Here is a 22,643-nt window from a genome sequence, read left to right as displayed (position 1 = left end):
CTTTTTTATTTTTTTCAACTTTTATTTTAAATTCAAGAAGGTACTTGTGCAGGTTTGTTACCTGGGTATATGGCCATGATGCTGAGGTTTGGCATACAAATGATCCCATGATCAGGTACTGAGCATGGTACCCAACAGTTAATTTTTCCACCCTTTTTAACCCCTCCCCTCCTCTAGTAGTTTCCAGTTTCTATAGTTACCATATTTATGTCCATGAGTACCAATTGATTAGCTCCTACTTATAAGCAAGAGCAAGCAGTATTTGGTTTTCTGTTCCTGTGTTAATTCACTCCGGATAATGGCCTCCAGCTGCATCCATGTTGCTGCAAAGGACCGGATTTTGTTCTTTTTACGACTGCATAGTATTCCATGGCATATATATATATACACCACATTTTCTTAATCCGGTCTATCCATGTCTTTGCTGTTGTGAATAGTTCTGCAATGAACATGCAAGTGCCTGTGTCTACTTTATAGAACAATTTGTTTTCTTTTGGGTACACACTCAGTAATGTGATTGCTGGGTCAAATGGTAGCTTTATTTTAAGTTCTTTGAAAAATCTCAGAATTGGTTTCCATAGTGGCTGAATTAATGTACATTCCCACCAACAGTGTTACAAGCATCCCCTTTTCTCTGCAGCCTTGTCAACATGTTATTGTACTATTAGACCGATTATTGTTTGACATTTTAATGGCAGCCATTCTGACTGGTATGAGATGATATCTCATTGTGGTTTTGATTTACATTTCCCTGAAGATTAGTGATGTGCAGCATTTTTCATATTTGGTGGCTGCTTGTATGTCTTCTTTTGAGAAATGTCTGTTCATGTCATTTGCTCATTTTTTATTGGGTTACTTGTGTTTAGCTTGTTCAATTGTTTAACTTTCTTATACACTTTGGATATTAGACCTTTGTCAGATAGTTTATGAATATTTTATCCCATTCTGTAGGTTTACCCTGTTGATAGTTTCTTTTGCTGTACAGATTCTCTTTAGTGTAATTAGGTCTCACTTGTCGATTTTTGGTTTTGTTCAATTGCTATCGAGGACTTAGTCATATAATTTTTTCCAGTGCCAATGTCAAGAATGGTGTTTCTTAGATTTTCTTCTAGGATTCTTATAGTTTGAGGTTTTACGTTTAAATCTTTAACCAATATTGAGTTAATTTTTGTATATGGTAAAAGATAGGGGTCCAGTTTCATTCCTCTGCGTATGGCTCACCAGCTGTCGAAGCACCATATATTGAATAAGGAGTCCTTTCCCCATTGCTTATTTTTGTCAGCCTTGCCAAAGATTAGATTATTGTAGGTGGCTGGCTTTATTTCTGGGCTCTCTATTATGTTCCATTGGCCTTTGTGTCTGTTTTTTTACAGTACCATGCTGTTTTGGTTGCTGTAGCTTTATAGTATGGTTCGAAGGCAGGTAATTTGATACCTCTAGCTTTCTTCTTTTTGATTAGGATTGCTTTGGCTATTCTGGCTCTTTTTTGGTTTCTTGTTAATTTTGTAGTTTTTTTTTTCCAGTTCTGTGAAAAATGATGTTGGTAGTTTGGTAGGTATAGCCTTGAATCTGTAGATTGCTTTGGGCAGGGAAATATGGCTATTTTACTGATATTGATTCTTCCAGTCCCTGAGCATGGAACGTTTTTTCATTTGTTTGTGTCATGTATGATTTCTTTTAACGGTGTCTTGTAGTTCTCCTTGTAATGATCTTTTACCTTCTTGGTTAGATGTATTCCTGGATTTTTTTGTGTGTGTGGCTATTGTAAATGATTTGGCTCTCAGCTTGGATGTTATCAGTATATAGAAATGCTACTGATTTTTGTACATTGATTTTCTCTCCTGAAACCTTGCAAAAATCATTTATCAGTTCTAATAGCCTTTTGGTGGAGCCCTTAGGGTTTCCTGAGTATCGAATCATTATCAGTAAAGAGAGATAGTTATACTTTTTCTTTGCCTATTAGGATGCCTTTTTATTTCTTTCTTTTACCTGATTTTCTCTGGCTAGCACTCTCCACTAATATATTGACTAGGAGTGGTGAGAGGGGGCATCCATATCTTGTTCCAGTTCTCAAGGGGAATGCTTCCAGTTTTTGCCTGTTCAGTATGATGTTGGCTGTGGGTTTGTCATAGATGGTGCTTATTATTTTCAGGTATGTTCCTTTGATGCCTAGTTTGTTGAGGGTTTTTATCATAAAGTGATGTTGGATTTCATTGAAAGCTAATTTGGTTTATGTGGTGAATCACATTTATTGATTTGTATATGTTGAACCACCCTTGCATCCCAGGAATGATGCCTACTTGATCATGGTGAATTAACTTTTTGATGTGTTTTTCAATTCAGTTTGCTAGTATTTTGTTGAGGATTTTTGCACCTGTGTTCATCAGGGATATAGTCCTGTGATTTTCTTTCTTCATTGTGTCTTTGCCAGGTTTTGGTATCAGGATGTTACTGGCTTTGTAAAATCATTTTTTTGGAATAGTTTCAGTAGAATTTATACCACCTCTTCCTTGTACCTTACATAGAATTCAACTGTGAATCCGTCTTGTTTGGGACTTTTTTGGTTGGTAGGTTTTTTTTATTACTGACTCAGTTTTGGAACTCGATATTAGTCTGTACAGTGTGTCAATTTGTTCCTCATTCAGTCTTGGTAAATTGTGTGTTTCCAGGAATTTATCCATTTCCTCTAGATTTTCTTGTTTGTATGTATAGACACATAGCCTCTGAGGACCTTTCGTATTCCTGTGGGATAAGTTGTAATGTAATCTTTGTCATTTCTAATTGTGGTTATTTATATCTTCTCTCTTTTCCTTTGTTAATCTCACTAGCAGTCTAGCAATCTTCTTTATCCTTTCAAAGAACCAACTTTTGGCTTCATCATTTCATTATGTGGATTTTTAGGTCTTAATTTCGTTCCATTCTGCTCTGATTTTAGTTATTTTTTTTTCTTCTGCTAGCTTATGGGTTAGTTTGTTCTTGTTTTCCTGGTTCCTCTAGATGTGATGTTAGAGTATTAATTTGAGATCTTTCTAATGTTTTGAGGTAGGCATTTAGTGCTTTCAACTTTCCTCTTAACACTGCTTTTGCTGCGTCCCTGGAATTTTGGTGTGTTGTGTACCTATTTTCATTTATTTCAAATACTATTTTTATTTCTGCCTTGATTTTGTTGTTTACCCAGAAGACATTCAGGAGCAAGTTGTTTAATTTTCATGTAACTGTATGGTTTTGAGATACCTTCTTGGTATTGATTTCTGTTTTTATTCCACTGTGGTCCAAGATTATGGTTAGTATGATTTCAGGGTTTTTTTGTTTGTTTTTCTTTTTCTTTTTCTTTTTTTTTTCTTTTTTTTTTTTTTTTGAGACTTACTTTAAGGACGAGCATGTGGTCAGTCTTGGAGTATTGTTCCATGTGCACCTGAGAAGAATGTATGTTCTGTGGCTGATGGGTAGAGTATTCTGTAGATGTTTTTCAGGTTCAGTTGGTCAAGTGTTGAGTTTAAGTCCAGAATGTGTGACTTTTCTGCCTGAATGATCTCACTCATGCTAGTAGGGTGTTGAAGTCCCCCACTATTATTGTGTTGCTGTCTATGTCTTTTTGTAGATCTAGTAGTACTTGTTTTATGACTCTGGGTTCTCCAATATTGGGTGCATACATATATGTGAGATATATATATGGAAGATATATGTGTGTGTGTGTGTGTGTATATATATATATATATATATATATACACACACATATACATGGAAGAGAGAGATATATATATGGAATATATATACATACTGGAAGAGAGAGAGAGATATATATATATATGGAAGATATATATGTGATAGTTAAGTCTTCTTGTTGAATTGAGCCCTTTATCATTATGTAATACTCTTCTTTGTCTTTTTTTTTTTTAACTGCTGTTAGTTTGAAGTCTGTTTTATCAGATGAAAGAATAGTGATTCCTGCTCTTTTTTGTTTTCCATTAGTGTGGTAGCTCTTTCTCCAAACCTTTACTTTGAGCCTATAGGTGTCATTATATATAAGATGGGTCTCTTGAAGACAAGCCAGATGGATGAGTCTTGTTTTTTTATCCAACATGCCACTCTGTGCCTTTTAAGTGAGGTGTTTAGACCATTTACATTCAAAGCTAATACTGTTATGTGATGTTTTGATCCTATCATGAAGTTATTAGCTGGTTGCCTTACACTTTCTAGTGTGTGTTTTTGCTTTATAGGGTCTGTGGGCTATGTACTTACATGCATTTTTGTGGTAGCATTTATTTTTCTTTCATTTCCATATTTAGAATTCCCTTAAGGATCTCTCATAAGGCTGGTCTAGTTGTAACAAATTCCTTTGTGCTTGTTTGTCTGGAAAAGATTTTACTTCTTATTCACTTATGAAGCTTGGTTTGGCAGGTTATGAAATTCTTGGTTGGAATTTCTTTTTTTTTTTTTTTTTTTTTTTTGAGAAAGCTAAAAATAGGTCCCCAGTCTCTCCTGGCTGGTAAGGTTTCTGCTGAGAAGTTGACGGTTGGCCTGATGACATTCCCTCTGATCTGCCCTTTTTCTCTAGCTGCCTTTAAGATTTTTTTTTCTTTAGTGTTGACCTTGGACAGTCTGGTGATAATATCCTTAGTGATGTTTATTTTGCATAGTATCTCACAGTTGTACTCTGGATTTCTTGTATCTGGATATCTGTCTCCCTAACAAGATTACCAAAGTTTTCTTGAGTTATTTCCTCAAATATATTTTCCACATTGTTAACTTTTTCTTCTTCTCTCTCAGGAATACCAGTAATTTGTAGGTTTTATCACTTTCTGTAATTCCATATTTCTTGAAGACTTTATTCATTTTTTAAAATTATTTTTTCTTTATTTTTGTCTGACTGGATTAGTTTAAAATACTGGTCTTCAGGCTCTGCAAGTCTTTCTTCTGCTTGGGCCGGTCTATTGTTAAAGCTTTCAGTTGTATTTTGAAATTCCTTATGTGAATTTTTTCAATTCCAGAAAGTCTGATTGATTTCTCTTAAAGATGCTTATTTCTTCCTTCATTTCCTGGATTACTTTAGAAGTTTTTTTTTGTTGATTTTCAACTTTGTCTTGGATCTCATTGGGCTTACTGCAATCCCTACTTTGAATTCTTTATCTGTCATTTCTGAGTTTCCATTTTGGTTAGGGACCATTTCTGTAGAGCTAGTGTGATCCTTTGGTGGTATCACTACATTCAGATTTTTCATAGTGCTGGAATTCTTACGCTGCTTTTTTCTTATCTGGAGACCCTAACACTTGTAACTTCTGTAATTATTTTCATGCAGGTAGGATTTTTTCTTTCTTTTTCTTTCCCTATAATGTTATTATATATTTTTTTCTCCTTTCCCTTTTCTTCCCCTCCCTTCAGAATGTGACTATAGAGAATTCTGGGTAGGGTCTTTGACTTTGTTTCTTTAGTCCTCTGTGCTGCTTTTGGCCAATTTTATTTTGGGCTGTGGCATTTGACCTGCAAGCCTGTAGATGGCACTTAGAGGTAAGAGCTAACTGCAGCCAACATGGCTTAGTGTATACCTTGATACTTGTTTACTGGCAGAAGCTCTTTGTTGCCACAGGCTATGGCCAATTCATGGAATGTACCATGGTCTGAGCTCACTGCCCAGCCCCAGGGTCAGGGGGTTGGCAGAGGGCAGGAATGGCAGGGCCAGACCTGACAGGTCCACCTACAGGTCCCCTGATGACAGACACAGGCACTAGTGCCGAGGGAGAATGCAGTGGGTGGCCACCAAGGGCCCAGAGATGTGCCTAGTAGTGTAGCTGGGAAACCTCCTCAGCCCCAAGTTCTCTGCACAGGGATAGGGGATGGTCTAAACTTCTAGTCCAGGAGAGTAGGTGCTCAAGATGCCTAGAGCATGGAGCAGAGACCCCCTGCACTAAGATCTCTGCATAGGAGGGGTGGGGTGACTCAAACTCCAGAAGCAGGCAAGGAGGTGCTCTGAATGCCTAGGGATCTTCCTGGGTATGGAGCAGAGAGAGCTCTGCTTCACCATAACGTTATGTCCAGGAGGAGTGCGGTGGCTCAGGCTACTCAACTAGGCAAATGGTTACTCTGGATGCCAGAGATGTGCTTGGAGATGGAGCAGCAAGGGCCCTACTGCACCACAATCTCAGGAGAACAGAGTGGGTTACCCGGCAATGGCACATGCGAATCTGTTCCAGGTTGCCAAGCTGAACGTGACTGCAAGTTTTGCAGCCCAGGAGAAACTGCAGCTGTAGCGGCTCTCCTGCTGCCCCAGGCTTGAAAGTGGGGAAAGCACAATTCTAGCCCTGTTGTTGGGGTACTTTCCACAGTTTTGACTGTGAAGCCCCTATCCCATTCCAGAGCAGGTGTTTTGATCTCTGGTCCAAGACTGACATGCCTGTGCAGCCACACTGCTGGGTCACCAAGGAATGGCTGAGTTTTTATGTGCCCAAATTTAAAACATTGTCCTGCTCTTTTTCCCGGGTCTGGAAAAATGCCTTCAGCTTTTTCCGTCACAGTGACTCCAGGCCACTCCCCAAGTTAGCTCCAGGACTGGGAGAAACAAAGTGCTCTCCCTTGGCCTAGGTTGCTTGGATCCCCAGTGGAAGGGTGAGTCACAGAGGGAGGCTCCTTGCCTCTCTCATGCACTGGGGCTTCACTTAACTTTTATCAGCTGGATGCCGTCAGTGGGGCTGTTTGCTGGCCTTCTCCTCTCTGGGATCTGGAGTGTACGTCATGATTCCAGTAGATTCCTGTTTTCCTTCTTGAATTAAAGCTCACAGAGTTTATCTTTATCTGCTATCTTGCTATGTCCAAGTGGCTGAGGCGTGCAGAAAGCCTCTAACCCACCCTCTTGGGGAAAAGCAAAAAGTCTATTTCTTCCATTTCTTTTATGCTTAGAAAATTCTTCTTCATCTTGAGACTAGATAACCACTTACACATATTTTCTAGTTTTTTAATTTTATATTGGACTAATACATATAAATTTTATTTTGTTATGAGGTGAAAATTAAATTTTATGTTTCTTCAGAGTTAATTATTGTTGCACTATTTGTCATTTTCCTGTATACTTTATCATATATTGTCATGTTCAAGTATTCTGTATTAAATTTTTATAACCTAAAATAACCTGTTCCTTGCTTCATTATTTCTTTGGTGTTTCATTTGTGTACCTATTCCATATGAATTGTAGTTATATAAGTCAATTTCTTTAGACAAACCTTTTTCTTGAAGGCACTATTTAATATGTTGCACAGAAACCTTCTGGTTCAATAATACCTTGGCTCACCTCATCCATTTTTTTAAAGGAATGGTGTATTATTTCTACCTTCACATTCTCTTTTCAGCCCACCTAAATATGACAACTTACCTTTGAAAAGTAACAGATGACCTAATTCCTAAGTACAGCAAATGTTCCTGTCTTTCTGAAACTTTATTTTCCCTTCACTTCTTGTAGTCTTGCTTCCTTTTTTTATATCTCTTAGTATTCCATCTGAATGTCCTGTTCTGCTTTTTTCTGTCCTATGTATAGTAGTACCCTAAGATTCTGCCTTCACTTATCTTTTCAGTTTTTACTGAATTCCTAGACTATTCTTTGCTTTCTCAGTCTTAACAATATCCTTTCTATGAATGATTCCCATATCTACCTTCATGAACTTGCAAAGCTGTGTTATCAAATGCCTATTTAGATATCAGCATGTCAAAATAAAACCCATTGCTCCTCTGTCCCCATTCCCATTCTTTTCCTTTATATCAGCATCTACTCAGTCAGCCATAGAGAAACCTCAACATCGTTGATTTCTCCCTTGACCCAAGTGGTAAAAGCTAGTTCCCTCTGGAATATTGATTCTCTTTATATGTCTGTTACTACTACCTTAGCTGATGTCCCTCAGAAGCTCTCTGCAAGCTCAAATATAACTTCTGATATTTCCAAACATGCTTATTCTTTGAATGTCTTTTCTGCTTTATAATAATTACCGTAACTTTAGTAGAAAAGTTTATGTATCTGGCTCTTGTAACCAGATAGTGATGTCCTTGCAGATTGGTACGGTTTTCTCTCATTGTGTCTGCAGCTTTTCATAACAGTGGTGATCAGTAACTTTTTTGTTGTACTTTAAAAATTGTTTAGCAGTCTGTAGTCTCAGGCATTTTTAGTTGATTCTCTCATTGCTACCCGAATTGCCTTTTTAACATTATGCTAATTATTTTATTTTATTTTTAAGTTCCAGGGTACATGTGCAGGATGTGCAGGTTTGTTACATAGGTAAATGTGTGCCATGGTGGTTTGCTGCACCTATCAACCCATCACTTAAGTATTAAGCTCAGCATGCATTAGCCATTTTTCCTGATGATCTCCCTCCCTTGGCTCTGCCCCACAAGCCCTAATGTGTGGTGGTGTTCTCCCTGTGCCCATGTATTCTCATTGTTCAGCTCCCACTTATGAGTGAGAACAAGCGGTGTTTGGTTTTCTGTTCCTGCGTTAGTTTGCTTAGGATAATGGCTTCCAGCTCCATTCATGTCCCTGCAGAGGACATGAGCTCATTCCTTTTTATGGCCGCATAGTATTTCTTGGGTTATATGTACCACATTTTCTTTATCCATCTATCATTGATGGGCACTTGGGTTGATTCCATGACTTTGCTATTGTGATAGTGCTGCAGTGAACATATGCATGCACGTATCTTTGTAGTAGAATGATTTGTATTCCTTTGGGTATATACCCAGTAATGAAATTGCTGGGTCAAAGGGTATTTCTGGTTCTGTGTCTTACAGCAATTGCCACACTTGTCTTCCACAGTGGCTGAACTCATTTACATTCCCACCAGCATTGTAAAAGTGTTCCCATCTCTCTGTAGCCCCACTAGCATCTATTGTTTCATGATTTTTTAATAATCACTATTCTGACTAGTGTGAGATGCTATTTCATTGTGGTTTTGATTTGCATCCTCTAATGATCAGTGGTGTTGAGCTTTTTTTCATGTGTTTGTTGGTCACATAAATGTCTTCTTTTGAGAAGTGTCTGCTCATGTCCTTTGCCCACTTTTGAATGGGGATTTTTTTTTCTTGTAAATTTGTTTAAGTTCCTTGTAGACTCTGGATATTAGACCTTTGTCAGATGGCTAGGTTGCAAAAATTTTCTCCCATTCTGTAGGTTGTCTGTTCACTCTGATGGTAGTTTCTTTTGCTGTGCAGAAGCTCTTTAATTAGATCCCACTTGTCAATTATTGCTTTTGTTGTAATTGCTTTTGATGTTGTCATCATGAAACATTGCCCGTACCTATGTCCTGAATGGTATTGCCTAGATTTTATTCTAGGTTTTTTATAGTTTGGGGTTTTACATTTGTCTTTAATCAATCTTGAGTTAATTTTTGTATAAGGTATAAGGAAGGGGTCCAGTTTCAGTTTTCTTTATATGGCTAGCTAGTTCTCCCAACACCATTTATTAAATAGGGAGTGCTGGCCAGATGCAGTGGCTCATGCCTGTAATCCCAGCGCTTTGAGAGGCTGAAGTGGGCAGATCACTTGAGGTCAGGAGTTTGAGACCAGCCTGGCCAACATGGTGAAACCCCATCTCTACTAAAAATATAAAAATTAGCCCAGTGTGGTAGCACATGCCTGTAATCTCAGCTACTCAGGAGGCTGAGGCAGGAGAATTGCTTGAACTTGTGAGGTAGAGGTTTCTGTGAGCCAAGATCATGCCACTGCACTCCAGCCTGGGTGACAGAGTGAGACTCTGTCTCAATCATTCAATCAAGCAATCAATCAATAGGATGTCCTTCCCTATTGCTTGTTTTTGTCAGGTTTGTTAAAAATCAAATAGTTGTAGATATTTGGTCTTATTTCTGAGTTCTCTATTCTGTTCCATTGGTTTATGTGTCTGTTTTTGTTACCAGTACCATGCTGTTTTGGTTACTATAGCCTTGTAATATAGTTTGAAGTCAGGTAGTGTGATGGCTCCAGCTTTGTTCTTTTTGCTTAGGATTGTCTTGGCTCTGTGGGTTCTTTTTTGGTCCCATGTGAATTTTAAAATAGTTTTTTTCTAATTCTGTGAAGAATTTCCATGGTAGTTTATTGTGAATAGCATTGAATCTATAAATTACTTTGGCCAGTATGGCCATTTTCCCAATATTGATTCTTCATATTCATTAGCCTGGAATGTTTTCCCATTTGTCTGTGTTCTCTCTTATTTCCTTGAGCCGTAGTTTGTAGTTTTCCTTGAAGAGGTCCTTCACTTCCCTTGTTAGCTGTATTTCTAGGTATTTTATTCTCTTTGTGGCAGTTGTGAATGAGAGTTCATAAATGATTTGGTTCTCTGTTGTTGTTGTATAGGAATGCTTATGACTTTTGCACATTGATTTTCTATCCTGAGCCTTTGCTGAATTTGCTTATCAACTTAAGCTTTTGGACTGAGAGGATGGGATTTTCTAGATACAGGATCATGTCATCTGCAAACAAAGACAATTTTACTTCCTCTCTTCCTATTTGAATGCTCTTTATTTTTTTCTCTTGCCTGATTGCCCTGGCCAGCATTTCCAATACTATGTTGAGTAGGAGTGGTGAGAGAGGGCATCCTTGTCTTGTGCTGGTTTTCAAGGAGAATGCTTCTGGATTTTGCCCATTCAGTGTGATATTTGCTGTGGGTTTGTCATAAATAGCTCTTATTATTTTGATGTATGTTCCTTCAATATCTAGTTTACTGAGAATTTTTAACATGAAGCGATGTTGAATTTTTTTGAAGGCCTTTTCTGTGTCTATTGAGATAATCACGTGGTTTTTGTGTTTAGTTCTGTTTATATTATGAATTACATTCATTGATTTGCATATGTGGATCCAAATTATGCTAATTTTTAAGCTAAAATTCTTTCATACTTATTATCTACAGAAAAAAAATTCATGCTCTTGTCATGTTAGTAAAGATCCTAACCAATCTGATCTCATCTTTTTTTTCCAGAAGTCCTATTATTTCTCTGATTATATATTATTTTTTGGCTACATGTGTTCCCTACATGTGTTTTCTTGCCATTGCTATTTTTCCTCTTTAGTATTAATGCTTTCTAAATTTTTATTAATCACCTACTATGTGCAGGTACTGTCCTAGGCTGTGTTGGAAATACAAATGGATAAAACTTGAGTAGCACTTTTTTGGAGATTTTTCCCTTAAATTTTCCATTATGAAAAACCTATTCTTCAAAACTTAGGTAAAGCTTTTTCTTATCTATCAAGTCTCCTTACATGATGCCAGCACAGATTAATCCCTCTTTGCCTTCAAAGTACTTTTAATATCTGAGTTATAAAATGTTATCACAACCCTCTTTTTTTAAAAATCAATACCTGTGTCCTCTTCATTCATATTGCTTAATGGCAGGAATTGTCTTTTGTTTAAACCACTTTATTGAGTTATGATTGATATACAAAATGCTGTATATATTTAATCGGAACAACTTGATGGGTTTGGAGTTAAGTGTATACTCATGAGAATGTTACCGCACTCAATGCTTGGAATCATAAGAGATTCTGTCTTATCACTGTATTCCCTCTTTCTCTTCTCCAGTGCCCAGCAGTGACTTTAAAATAATTGATACTCACTAAATGAATGCTGAATTGAAAAGTTGGTTCAGAGCCAAAGTAGAAACTGAGAAGGATTAGCCAGAGAGTTAGGAGGCAAATCAGGAGAGAGTCATATTACCAAAGCCCAGAAATGTGTTTCAAGAAAGAGGGCAGTAGGTGATGTCCTAAGCTTCAGATTTGGAAGAAGCAGTGCAGACTGTAAATAGATTATTGGATTTGGCGATTAAGAGGTTGTTGGTTATCTTAACAAGTTCCATAAAGTAGTAAGGGTACACATCAGATAGCAGACTGAGAAGTAAATTCTTACCCTTAAATATAATTTTTAGCTGATATATTTATAGAAATTGGCTGGCAGACACATTGAAGATACATAGTCTAAATAAAGATCTAGAATCTTGCATATATTATATCGATTTAGGGAGGATCCATATTTTTTGTAAAGTTAAATGAGTGGGTAAGTAGGCTTGACATTCTTTTAAGAAAATTTAGAAACCTAATCACTATTTTCATCTCATTAGAAGACTACTGCAACTCCACATAGAGATCACACGATCTTTTCATCAAAGTTAGTGATATTTTGCATGGCAGAAATTATTTTAACCTGGAAAACATGGCTCCTTCTACTTTCTATCCTTGTTAGGCTGGTAATACATTGATAATATATATCTAACTATATGAAATGAATGAATTTTTTAAAATATCCCTGAGTAATTGTATAAATGACTTGATTTTTCACATACTGTATTTGATTATTTGGAAGACATACTTAACATTTCTGTAATCAGAATGCCTTTTAGAATAGATCATGTGTTATAGTTTTAACTGACAACCTTTTTTACCTTGGTGTTTTATAAAATGATGATGCAGTCCCAATTCGTAGCATATGAGATTTGATAAAATACAGTAATATAGTAGGAAGCATTAAAGTTTAGAGACTGCAAAATATTTTAGTTTTAATATAATTATTGTTGTGCTACACTTTTTGGGGCTATAGGTGATATTTTCTCTCTCTCTCTGTTTACTATGCCAATGGGTCATGCATAAAGCTTATCTTATAATATGCTGTTAAGTGAAGGTGGGGGTGGGAATGGGGAAGAATGAATTTATAGGGAACCTGTTTTATGTTACTTGAAATAATGACTTTGGTGTATGCAGAACAAATCTTAGTTAACCATAATTTTCACCAATTTTGTAGAAACATTATGAGTCAATGATCCATGTAAGGGAAAAATTTCTGATCTTGCAGTCAAGGGTACATTGGCTGATTGGTTCATTTTTTTCACAGACATGTATTGTGTATCTATTAATAACCATGATACCTGGCAATATACTCAGCACTGTAAACAATCTTTCATTGTTCTGAGCATGTTTCAACAACAAAGATTAATAGTCAATTCACAGTGCCTGAAACCTGCTCTTTCTTCATGTATGTTGTCCAATTGAGATAATATTTGTAGTTTCTTTAATGAAGAAGTGGCCTATTGGAGAGCCGTGTACTTGGTCACAGTAAGCACCCAGTGAATGTTTGTTGACTATCGAATGGTATATGTTTTAAGAGGTTGACTAGGAAATGGATGGGCTTATAGTTTTAGTGATAATATGAGAAAGGACTGGCATTGTAGCTAATTATTATTGAAAATAGAATATACATTGAGAACTGCAATAGGAATAATGGATGTTTCTCAGTTCATTTTGGGCATTACTAAAATAAATTAAAAACATAAAACCTTAAAGTTTCTCACCATAGAAAATGTCAAATTATTTTCTATTTTCAATAATAATTTGACTTTGAAAATATTTTTAGAGATATCATGATTAATCAAAAATTGTAGAATATAACAAGTTCGCGTAAATCAGTTTCAGCAAATTGACAGTCTTGTCTTTGAAATCAAATAATTAAGTGAAAATATATCTGTGCTTGTGTTCATTTATTTTAGTAATATCTCAATACCTAATCCTTGAAGAGTGAAGCAACAGTATAGTGAGGGGGAAACTGCAATCTGATGATGCATACCTTTTTCCTCTGGTAACTGAAGGTTAAATGGGTAGCAAGCAGAATGCCTTAAACAAGATTGGTATATTGATTAAAACGCTGATTTAACAGCTCGCAGTTTCCCCTTGGAAACCTGGAAAAGATAAGCCAGCTGCTGTCTAAGAGTGCTCAGTGTCCACTGAGAGTACACTATCTATCATCACAATATGGTGATGAGAGGTGTTTTATGTTTGTGTTAATTTCCCCCACTAAATCAGTAATTATTACAATCCTGTCCCTGCTGTTTACCCTGCAGCTGTTTTTCCATTTGTCGAGAGAGCGGGTGTTCTCTGAGGACCGCACACGTTTCTATGGTGCAGAAATTGTCTCTGCCTTGGACTATCTACATTCCGGAAAGATTGTGTACCGTGATCTCAAGGTAAAAAAAAAAAAAAAGTAATCAAAATTTGTTTTTGCAGAGACTATAGGGACAAACATAAAGTAATTACAAAGTTATACAGTTTTGAGAAAAGCAGATTTAGTTGGGAAAAAAGCACTATGTTTAAAAATTTAGTTCACTACATTTGAAGGAAATTTTATTCACTAACATGTATGTAGTTGATTTATGTGTGAGTTTTTGATTTGCAAAGCAATTTCTGCCCGACTGCTTGGATCAAATAAAAATGTTAAACGTGATTAAGTCAAATAAATTCACAAGTTACACTTAAAACAAGTTTTATTATGTTTACAGAAATGTTTTATGAAGAAACATAGTAAGACTATTGGAAGGAACATATTCATTTTGATTTTAGCATTAACTTTGGGTGGTTTTAAATACCTGAAGCATTTTAATATAATAACCATTTATTAATGTGCCTCGTGTTTTATTTATGAAAGCACTCTATTTTTTCTGTTGGTAATAGTGTTTTGACTGCTGTAAGTTCCATTATGATGAGACCCTTAGGGTAGCTCAGGATTGGCAAACTTTCTATAAAGGGCAGATAAAATAATTTAGGCTTTGCTGTTCGTGTATAGTCTCTTTTGTAAACTACTCAACTCCATCATTGTAGGGTAAAAGCAGCCTCAGATAGTATGTAAATGAATATGTTTGGCTATGTTCCAGTAAACAAAATAGGCGATGGGCTCAATTTAGTCCACAGGTTGTCATTTGTTGATCCCTGGAGTAACTCATACAAGGTAATAGTAATTCTCATGACAGTGTTATGAATTAGGTTGGCGACATTAAAGGAATTTGTACCACGACACATTTTGAATAAATTCTAGATGTTAGTCTTTCTTTTGTAAGAAGCAAATTGTGTATAAAATTTGACACAGAATTGCCTTATTGATCAAATACTATTTCATGTAACGTAATGATTGGTAGAAACAGAAGTTACATGAGGCTTTTATGAAATTCTGTTTTGTTTGAAATGAGGTATATAGAAGCTATAAGATGTTGTATGTAGGAAGAACTGAACTATGTACCTATAAAACATCTAGATCAGAGATGACCAACTGTCTAAGTGCCAAAATGGGCTAAAGATTAATACAAATTAATAGTTTGATTGTATTTAGCCTGAATCTTTTTATAACTAGGAATGTGGCAGAATTCAGCATTCATGTATCTGCATGGCCAGATAATCCTATACTGTCTAAATGTCTTAAATATCAATTTCTTTAAAGGAATTAGTTATGTGGCATGACAAAATGTGTTAACTTTCCAAATATACTTAGAAGTAGTTAGCTCTGCTCTTCCTGAGTCCACTTCTCGTATTCCCACTACATGTTTTATGAATCCTATTTGTAGGGGTGAAAAGGGGAAGGATAGAAGCATGGAGGCTTAGATTTAAGGAAATTATAACAATTTTGAAGTAATAGGTAACATCCAGAAAGCTTAAATTCAAAAGATTGAATTATTAGCCTAAAGACTGCTAAAGAAAAGAATGTTCATTTGATTGCAGTATTGATTATGGTCTTGGTCAGTATTTCTTCTTTAATCATTTCTCATCAAATGAATCAACATATTGAGGGTATGTGTGTGTGTGTTTTCAGATGGAGTCTCGCTCTGTCGCCAGGCTGGAGTGCAGTGGTGCCATCTTGGCTCACTGCAACCTCCAACTCCCTGGTTCTGGCGATTCTCCTGCCTCAGCCTCCTGAGTAGCTGGGATTACAGGCATGTGCCACCACGCCCAGCTAATTTTTGTATTTTTAGTAGAGACAGGGTTTCACGGAGTTGGCCAGGATAGTCTCGATCTCCTGACCTCGTGACCGCCTGCCTCGACCTTCCAAAATGCTGGGATTACAGGCATGAGCCACCATGCCCAGCCAACATATTGGTATATTGAAGCTCATTAAATGAGTTCCACTGCCCCATTCTTTCTGATGATGGAATTAGACTAAATTTGTCAAACTGCAATATAAAGTACCTACTTTATATATGAATATCAGTCAATTAGTTACCACGTGCACAGTTCACCAAGTTTACTAGACAATTAAGTGGTCTCTGCTCCCTGAGTTTATTTCTTAAAAAATATAGCCTTAACTTAAAGACCTAAGTATATAGTTAGCATAGGACAGAAACTGTAAAGGTACACCTAGAAAAATCCATGTAACATAAGAAATCAAACATCCAAAACTTACACACATGTTATTTGTATCCACAGTAACAGGATTATTTATAATACAATGACATATTTTAGGTAAGATCACAGAAATTTTGAGCTGGTCTTTAATTTATAGGTGATCTCCTTCAAACCTAGAAGCCTAGTAAATGACTTACTAAAAGTAATGACCTAAGTTGATAGCAGTCAGGGTTTTTGGAACTCATGAATCCTAGCTCCTTATTGAATGTTCTTGTCACTATATCATTCTGACTTCTAGAGTTGAAATGAAATTATAGAGGGGGGATGCATTGGATTAACTTTGGGAAATCTTTGTAAGCCTAAACTTCAAATTAAACTGCAGAAGGTAAGAGAATGAGTGTTTCAAATATATTTATACCAGATGTATTAAAGAACATTATCATGAACTGATTTAGGTACCCACTTTGATCAGTCTCAGATTTGTCTCTGTTCTCATTACTAATAACCTTGACTTTGTTCAAATGCAAATCCAATTGCTATGCCTACAGTAGCAGCACTTCTCAAGTAAATCCATACCCGTTTGCCGCTGTCTCATTCACATTGGAGGCAGAGCCTTCTTTTATGTGCAGGTTAACTTAAGATATTTTTATCAGTTCCTGTTTCCTAATAAATTAGTGTTTATAGCAACAGAAAAATTGTTGAAGCCTTTGTTGTACTTTAGAAAGTAAGTTCATTTAATTTGTCAATACACATCATGTAATGAAGTTTTATTTTTATTAAGGACCCAAATTCCTTGTGATTACTTAAGGAAAACTGCTGTTGCTTCATGATTGCCCAAAATTTCGAAGAAATCTCTTCAAAGACTTCTTCAGTAGTCCAAATTATATGTTAAAATCTTCTTTTCTGCTTAGCTCTTATTTTACAAATACAACCAATGACCATGGCCATCTAAGCACAGCGTAGGCTGAACAGGGACATTTGCAAAGGTGAATATAACTATATTGGAAATCATTAAGAATTAATTTCTTGCTAGTTTATGGGAGAAAATAATACATAAGTTGTTGCTATTTCCTATTTGTAGAACACCTAATCTTGTTTTCCACCTAATGTGAGAATAGTTAACCATTTACAGTATTAATATGAGAAAGCACCAAATAAATTTAGGTACTTTCTAACACTCAGTAATGGCACGAAGGGGTGGCTTCAGAGAGTTTTATCATAGCCCTCCTCGTCCTCATCAGCTCCCTAATGTTCACTTCAAATAAATGCAGTTTGGGTGGGGAAAGCATGCTTGCTTTGCTTGCTGAGCTTCAAGACACTTTCCCCAGCTCCCACTTCTAACTAGATGGTCACTGGATTTCCCCCTATATAGAAATCTTAAGCCACTGCTCTTCATTCCTTCCACTTCTAAAATAAAATTGTACTGGTATTGGACTATGTACCTTATTCGTAATAAATTTGTAAATAGCCTGGCAACCTATTTGGGGTCTGTTTACATGATGAGTCCTTTTCTGGATTCAGAGGTTGAAGTGAAGAAACGTTTTTCTTTTGGAATTTCAGCATTCCATGGTCATTCAGTTTCTGCAGGTTAGCTTGTGACATTTTGGCACTGGATGCCCGTAAACTTAAACTTGCAATGTGCAGAGTAGGAATTCCTTACTACCTTCTTGGGCCTGAGTGAGTCTTGGTGCCTAAAACTGAGTTTGATGTATGTGGGCTAAAATGTGGTGTAAGAGTGAGTAACAGGAATTGTTTATTTCTATTGCTGCAGTAGTCATCGGAGCCCTTAGGAACTGCTATTTTCATTCCTTTGTTTAATCACAATGTCAGTCGTTTAATTAAAATGATACCATATATATGGTGTTTTTAAACTTTCAAATATTTAGTCTGGCCTACATTCAAGCCTAGCTTCTCAGACTGGGTGCTACAAACAGGTTACAACCATGCCTCGGCCTGCAAAGTGTTCAGAGAAGCTTCCAGGCCAGTGAGTTCTGGCTTCAAGCATCTTGTCCAGTTAACCTGGTATGCCCCACAACTTTAAATTGTTATTTTACTGTGAAATGTAAAAGGTTGGGAAGCATTGTATTAAAGACAGCTAGGATTTTTAAAGTTTAATTTTATGCTAGCCATCAGCAAGAACAGGAGGAAACATAGTAATTTTTGTTACAATTTTGTGCCCACTAAGCACAGGAAAAAAGATTTAAAAATCTACCATTTCTTCATATACACACTGAATCAAGACCCTCTGTCAAGTAATGCCTGTCCACTTCAACTGGGCAAAAAATGTTACCCTTTTTTTTGGTGGAAATTCTATGATGTATTATGTCTAGTGTTTTTTTTTTTCTCTCTCCTCAAAAGCATGACCTTTTAGATAACAACCCTCTGATAGAAATAGTAAGCATTACTTAGATTTTTAATATACAATCTTGTTTCTTATGACTTCATATTTGACTTCATCACTACTTTTGTTAGTGGATGCATCCATTAAGCATAAGCATGCTGCCCTACTCTCCATCTTGGAAACTGAGATTGGCTGTGAATATTAAACAGATGCATGTAAAGTTTCATAAATTTAGAGTACCTAAGCAGTCAGTGACAATATGCATTACATATTGTCTGGCTAACAAAGGGAAGAAGGAAAGTGATCTAGAAGAGAAGACTAAAGAAAGATCATTTGTAAATATTTTTCTTCCTCCTTTACGCAGTAGAAAGATTCCTAAAAATGTATGACTACTGTAAATAATGTAAATACTACTTACATTATGTTAGTGTTAAATGAACCAAGACAGTGATTTCCAGATGTTACTGATATATCTAGGCCATTGATATGCTTTGGAAAGACTTACAGGTGTTTCTGTGCATTCTGCAGGTTTACGAATCACCCTACTAATGGTCCTTGTATTTTACAGAAACTCTGTTAATGCATCCTGAGTAAAATTATCATGTATTGTATAACAGAACTGTACATTTTATTATCTCCTGATTTATCTTTATACAAGATTAGATTTGGGGATATTATTTTTTAAGCTAATATTTTGGTGGACAAGTTTTAGTCATTCATGCTCAGCAAAACAACGTTTTAGGATGGTGAGAGAAGACAAAGTAATTGATAGAAGAATGTGGACACTACTTCAAAATAACTGGGAAATTATGAGGCTGGGCACAGTAGCTCAAACTTGTAATCCCAGCACTTTGGGAGGCAGAGGTGGGAGGACTGTTTGAACTCAGGAGTTCGGGACCAGCCTGGGCAACATGGCAAAATACCATCTCTTAAAAAAAAAAAAAAAAAAAAAAAGGAAGAAACAAACAAAAACTAGCAGGGCGTGGTAGTGGTGTGCGCCTGTGTACTTAGGAGGCTGAGGTGGGAGGATCAGTTGAGCCTGGGAGGTTGAGGCTGCAGTGAGCTGTGATTGTGCCACTGTACTCCAGCCTAGGCAACAGAGCGAGACCCTGTCTCAAAAATAAGAAAATTATAAAATATTTGTGTTTTGTTTTTTTGAGACAGGATTTCACTCTGTCACCCAGGCTGGAGTGCAGTGGCACCATCTCTGCATATTACAACCTCCCCACACACCTCGGGCTCAAGTAACTCTCCCGCTTCAGCCTCCAGAGTAGCTGGCACCACAAGCGCATACCACCACGCACAGCTAATCTTTTGTATTATTGGTAGAGACAGGGTTTCACCATGTTGCCCAGGCTGGTCTTGAACTCCTGAGCTCAAGCGATCTGCCTGCCTCAGCCTCTCAAATTGTTGGGATTACAGGCATGAGCCACTGTGCCTAGCCTGTGTTTTGTTACTTAAAATAAATTATTGCATATTGAAAAGTATTTTTAATGCAGTCATTGAGCCAACAGAAATGTTTTATGGGGTTCCACTCTTGAACTTTGTTCTTTTCTTTAAAATACAGTGTTTTTTAGAAGAGCCCACATCATGACAATTTACAAATAAGCCATTAAACTCTTCATGTTTTAAGAAAAGATGAGTTCATTTATTCAATTCTTATGGTATGTTAAGTTTGCATTTAGCATCTCATTTCTCAAAACTGTCACATTGGATTGTTACTGTTATTTACTTTTGTTTTATAGATGAAATTGAAGCACGTAGAAATTAATAATATGCCCAAGGTCACACAGTGAATAAGGGATAAAGCTCAAATTTTAATATGAACCCTCTGACTTGAACCCATAGTCTTATCCATTTTGCTCTCTACTGCCTCCCAGGCAGTATGCTACCAGTCCCCATGGCCATGACCCTTACCCCATCTCTCTCAGTCATCCCTTAGGCTTATCTTATTTCTTACTATATCATTGTAATTTTTTTAAAAGCTAATTTATAAAACAAGTAGGGTAACCAGCTGTCTTGGTTTGCCCAGGACTGCCCAGTTGTAGCACTACACGTCCTGCATTCTTTGAAACCCCTCAGTTCTGGGCAAACTGGGAGTTGGTCACCCTCAGCCTATTCCTTACCCAAACCTATCCTTGCATCTCATTTCATTCTTCTTCTCACAACCATGATCTGAGGCTCAGAGATGAGATACGAGGTTACAGAATTAGATGCAAGTCAGAATTTTACACACACGTACACACACACGGAGCTAGGTATTAAAAAGCAGTGTTTATACATTTTGGTTTTTCTGTATCCAGCCACTTCAAAAATAGCTTTGTCAAAACGTGGAGAAATAGTGCATCCTGTCTGTCATGTTTCCATGAAGACTTTCCCATGCATACAAAGCATGTGAGGAGTATTGGCACATTACACACCAAACTAGATGGGAATGGAATGGTGTAAAAAGTACATTCACATTTTGTTCAATATTTTGTATTATTTGGAACTTTTATAAGAATTGTTAATGTATTATATTAGTAAAAGAGTATTCACTAAAGATCTTCAGCATTTTATATATTTATAAAGCATATTTTTAAAAATTAATAAAAGGGCATATACATTTTTATTCAGTAAAACAACAGAAGCTTTAGTATATACTTAACGTTTCTCATTATGGCAAAGTGGGAGGGAGGAAGAAGAGAGGTTGTTTGAAAGAGGTGGAAAAAAGAGAGAAACCAGAGGCTGAGAAGAGACAGACCAAGGCAGAAAGAGAAAATAGGACAGTTGAAGACTCTTGATGTTTCTGATTGGTTTCAATATACAAGACTTATTGTCATTTGTGCAGATTGGGTTTGGTTTCTAGGTTCTGGCTGGTAGAGAAACAGGAATATACAAGATAACTGAGTTTGGATAAAATAAAAAATTTTAATTTGGTGGGGCATGGTGGCTCATGCCTGTAATCCCAGAACTTTGAGAGGCTGAGGTGGGTGGATTGCTTGAACCCAGCAGGTCAAGACCAACTTGGGCAGCAAAGTGAGACCTTGTCACTATAAAAAAATTAAGAAATTAGCCAGGCATGGTGGCACGTGCCCGTGTTCCCAGCCATTCAGGAGGCTGAGGTGGCTTGAGCTGCTGAGGCAGAGGTTGTGGTGAGCTGTGATTGCACCACTGCACTCCAGTTTGGGTGGCAGAGTGAGACTCTGTCTCAAAACAGAAATTTTTTTTTAAAGGTTCAGCAGTATATTTTATGTGTTCATTCAGCTTTCTGTAGAAAAAAATTGAAGCCAGACTTACCTCTGTGAGACATGCTATACATGAAATGTATATCAAGCATTTGGTTTAGTTAGATGGCACATTGAAGTACTATAAAAAAGGACTTTTGTCTGTTCTGAACTTTGCTTCAGTGAACACAACTTGCCTAACTGTATTTAGTGTCTGGTTTATAAGACATTTGACAATATGGCAGAGAGTATAATAACATATTTTATATGACTGATATGTTTATGTTCTAAAGTGGAGATCTGTTTTAAATTTGATATTAACTTCAGAGTCCAGGTACATTCTTTCAAATGTCATCACATTAAGGAGTAGAATAAGAATCTACTCCTCAAATAAAAGTTAACTATCATTTATCCTGTTAATATACTTTTCACATTTTGTATATTTTTTCAGTATGACAGAAGAAATACCTTTAGGTTGTGTCTACATGACTAGGCAAAGTTTTATGGGCCCTGAATACATAAGGCTGTATGATCATAACTCAGAACTCATCTGTATCTTTGTTTGATGATAATCATAATCTTAGGTTCAAATTAGCTCGAGGGGAACTGGCTGGTTACATTGTTATTTCTAATTGTGTTGGCTTTGCACAAATTCCTCCTCTCTTACATTTCATAATTTTCCGCTTGAGGCACATGATCCTGTTACTTGGTTAAATCTTTAAGATTTTCTTTGGTGTTTTGAATTAATGGGTTCAAAGAGGGTCCAACTTTATAACATTTATGCTATATATTTTTATTAACTGTTGAATGTTTGACTTTGATATTCTTTTTCTTTTTATATTTAAAAGGGTTGGTATTTCTTTATTACAAAGAACTGCAAAAGAGGATATCGCCTTACCTTACAAAATAAGATTTAGGTTTGATTTACAAGCACCACCAAAAAACATTTCTGTAAGTGAATATTTTATAATAGCAATAGA

General features: G+C 36.5%; 1 protein-coding gene across 12 annotated transcripts in view; it reads left to right on the top strand.

The window, feature by feature from the left end:
• The window catches only part of AKT3 (AKT serine/threonine kinase 3), a 362,847-nt gene that overhangs the window by 264,181 nt on the left and 76,023 nt on the right, over window positions 1–22,643 (top strand). For 10 of the 12 annotated variants that reach the window (NM_181690.2, NM_001370074.1, XM_047420641.1 and 7 more), the window contains one exon: window positions 13,851–13,973. In NM_181690.2, the coding sequence (NP_859029.1) occupies window positions 13,851–13,973 (123 nt within the window). Of the gene's footprint in view, window positions 1–13,850; window positions 13,974–19,888; window positions 20,122–22,511; window positions 22,615–22,643 lie in introns of those variants that run through there. The other 2 variants (XM_024446892.2, XM_011544014.3) reach the window with 2 other exon arrangements.

This window comes from Homo sapiens, chromosome 1, assembly GCF_000001405.40.
Source record: "Homo sapiens chromosome 1, GRCh38.p14 Primary Assembly".
NCBI lineage: Eukaryota > Metazoa > Chordata > Mammalia > Primates > Hominidae > Homo > Homo sapiens.
Note: the sequence above shows the minus strand (reverse complement) of the source record. Positions and strands in the feature narration are given on the sequence as shown.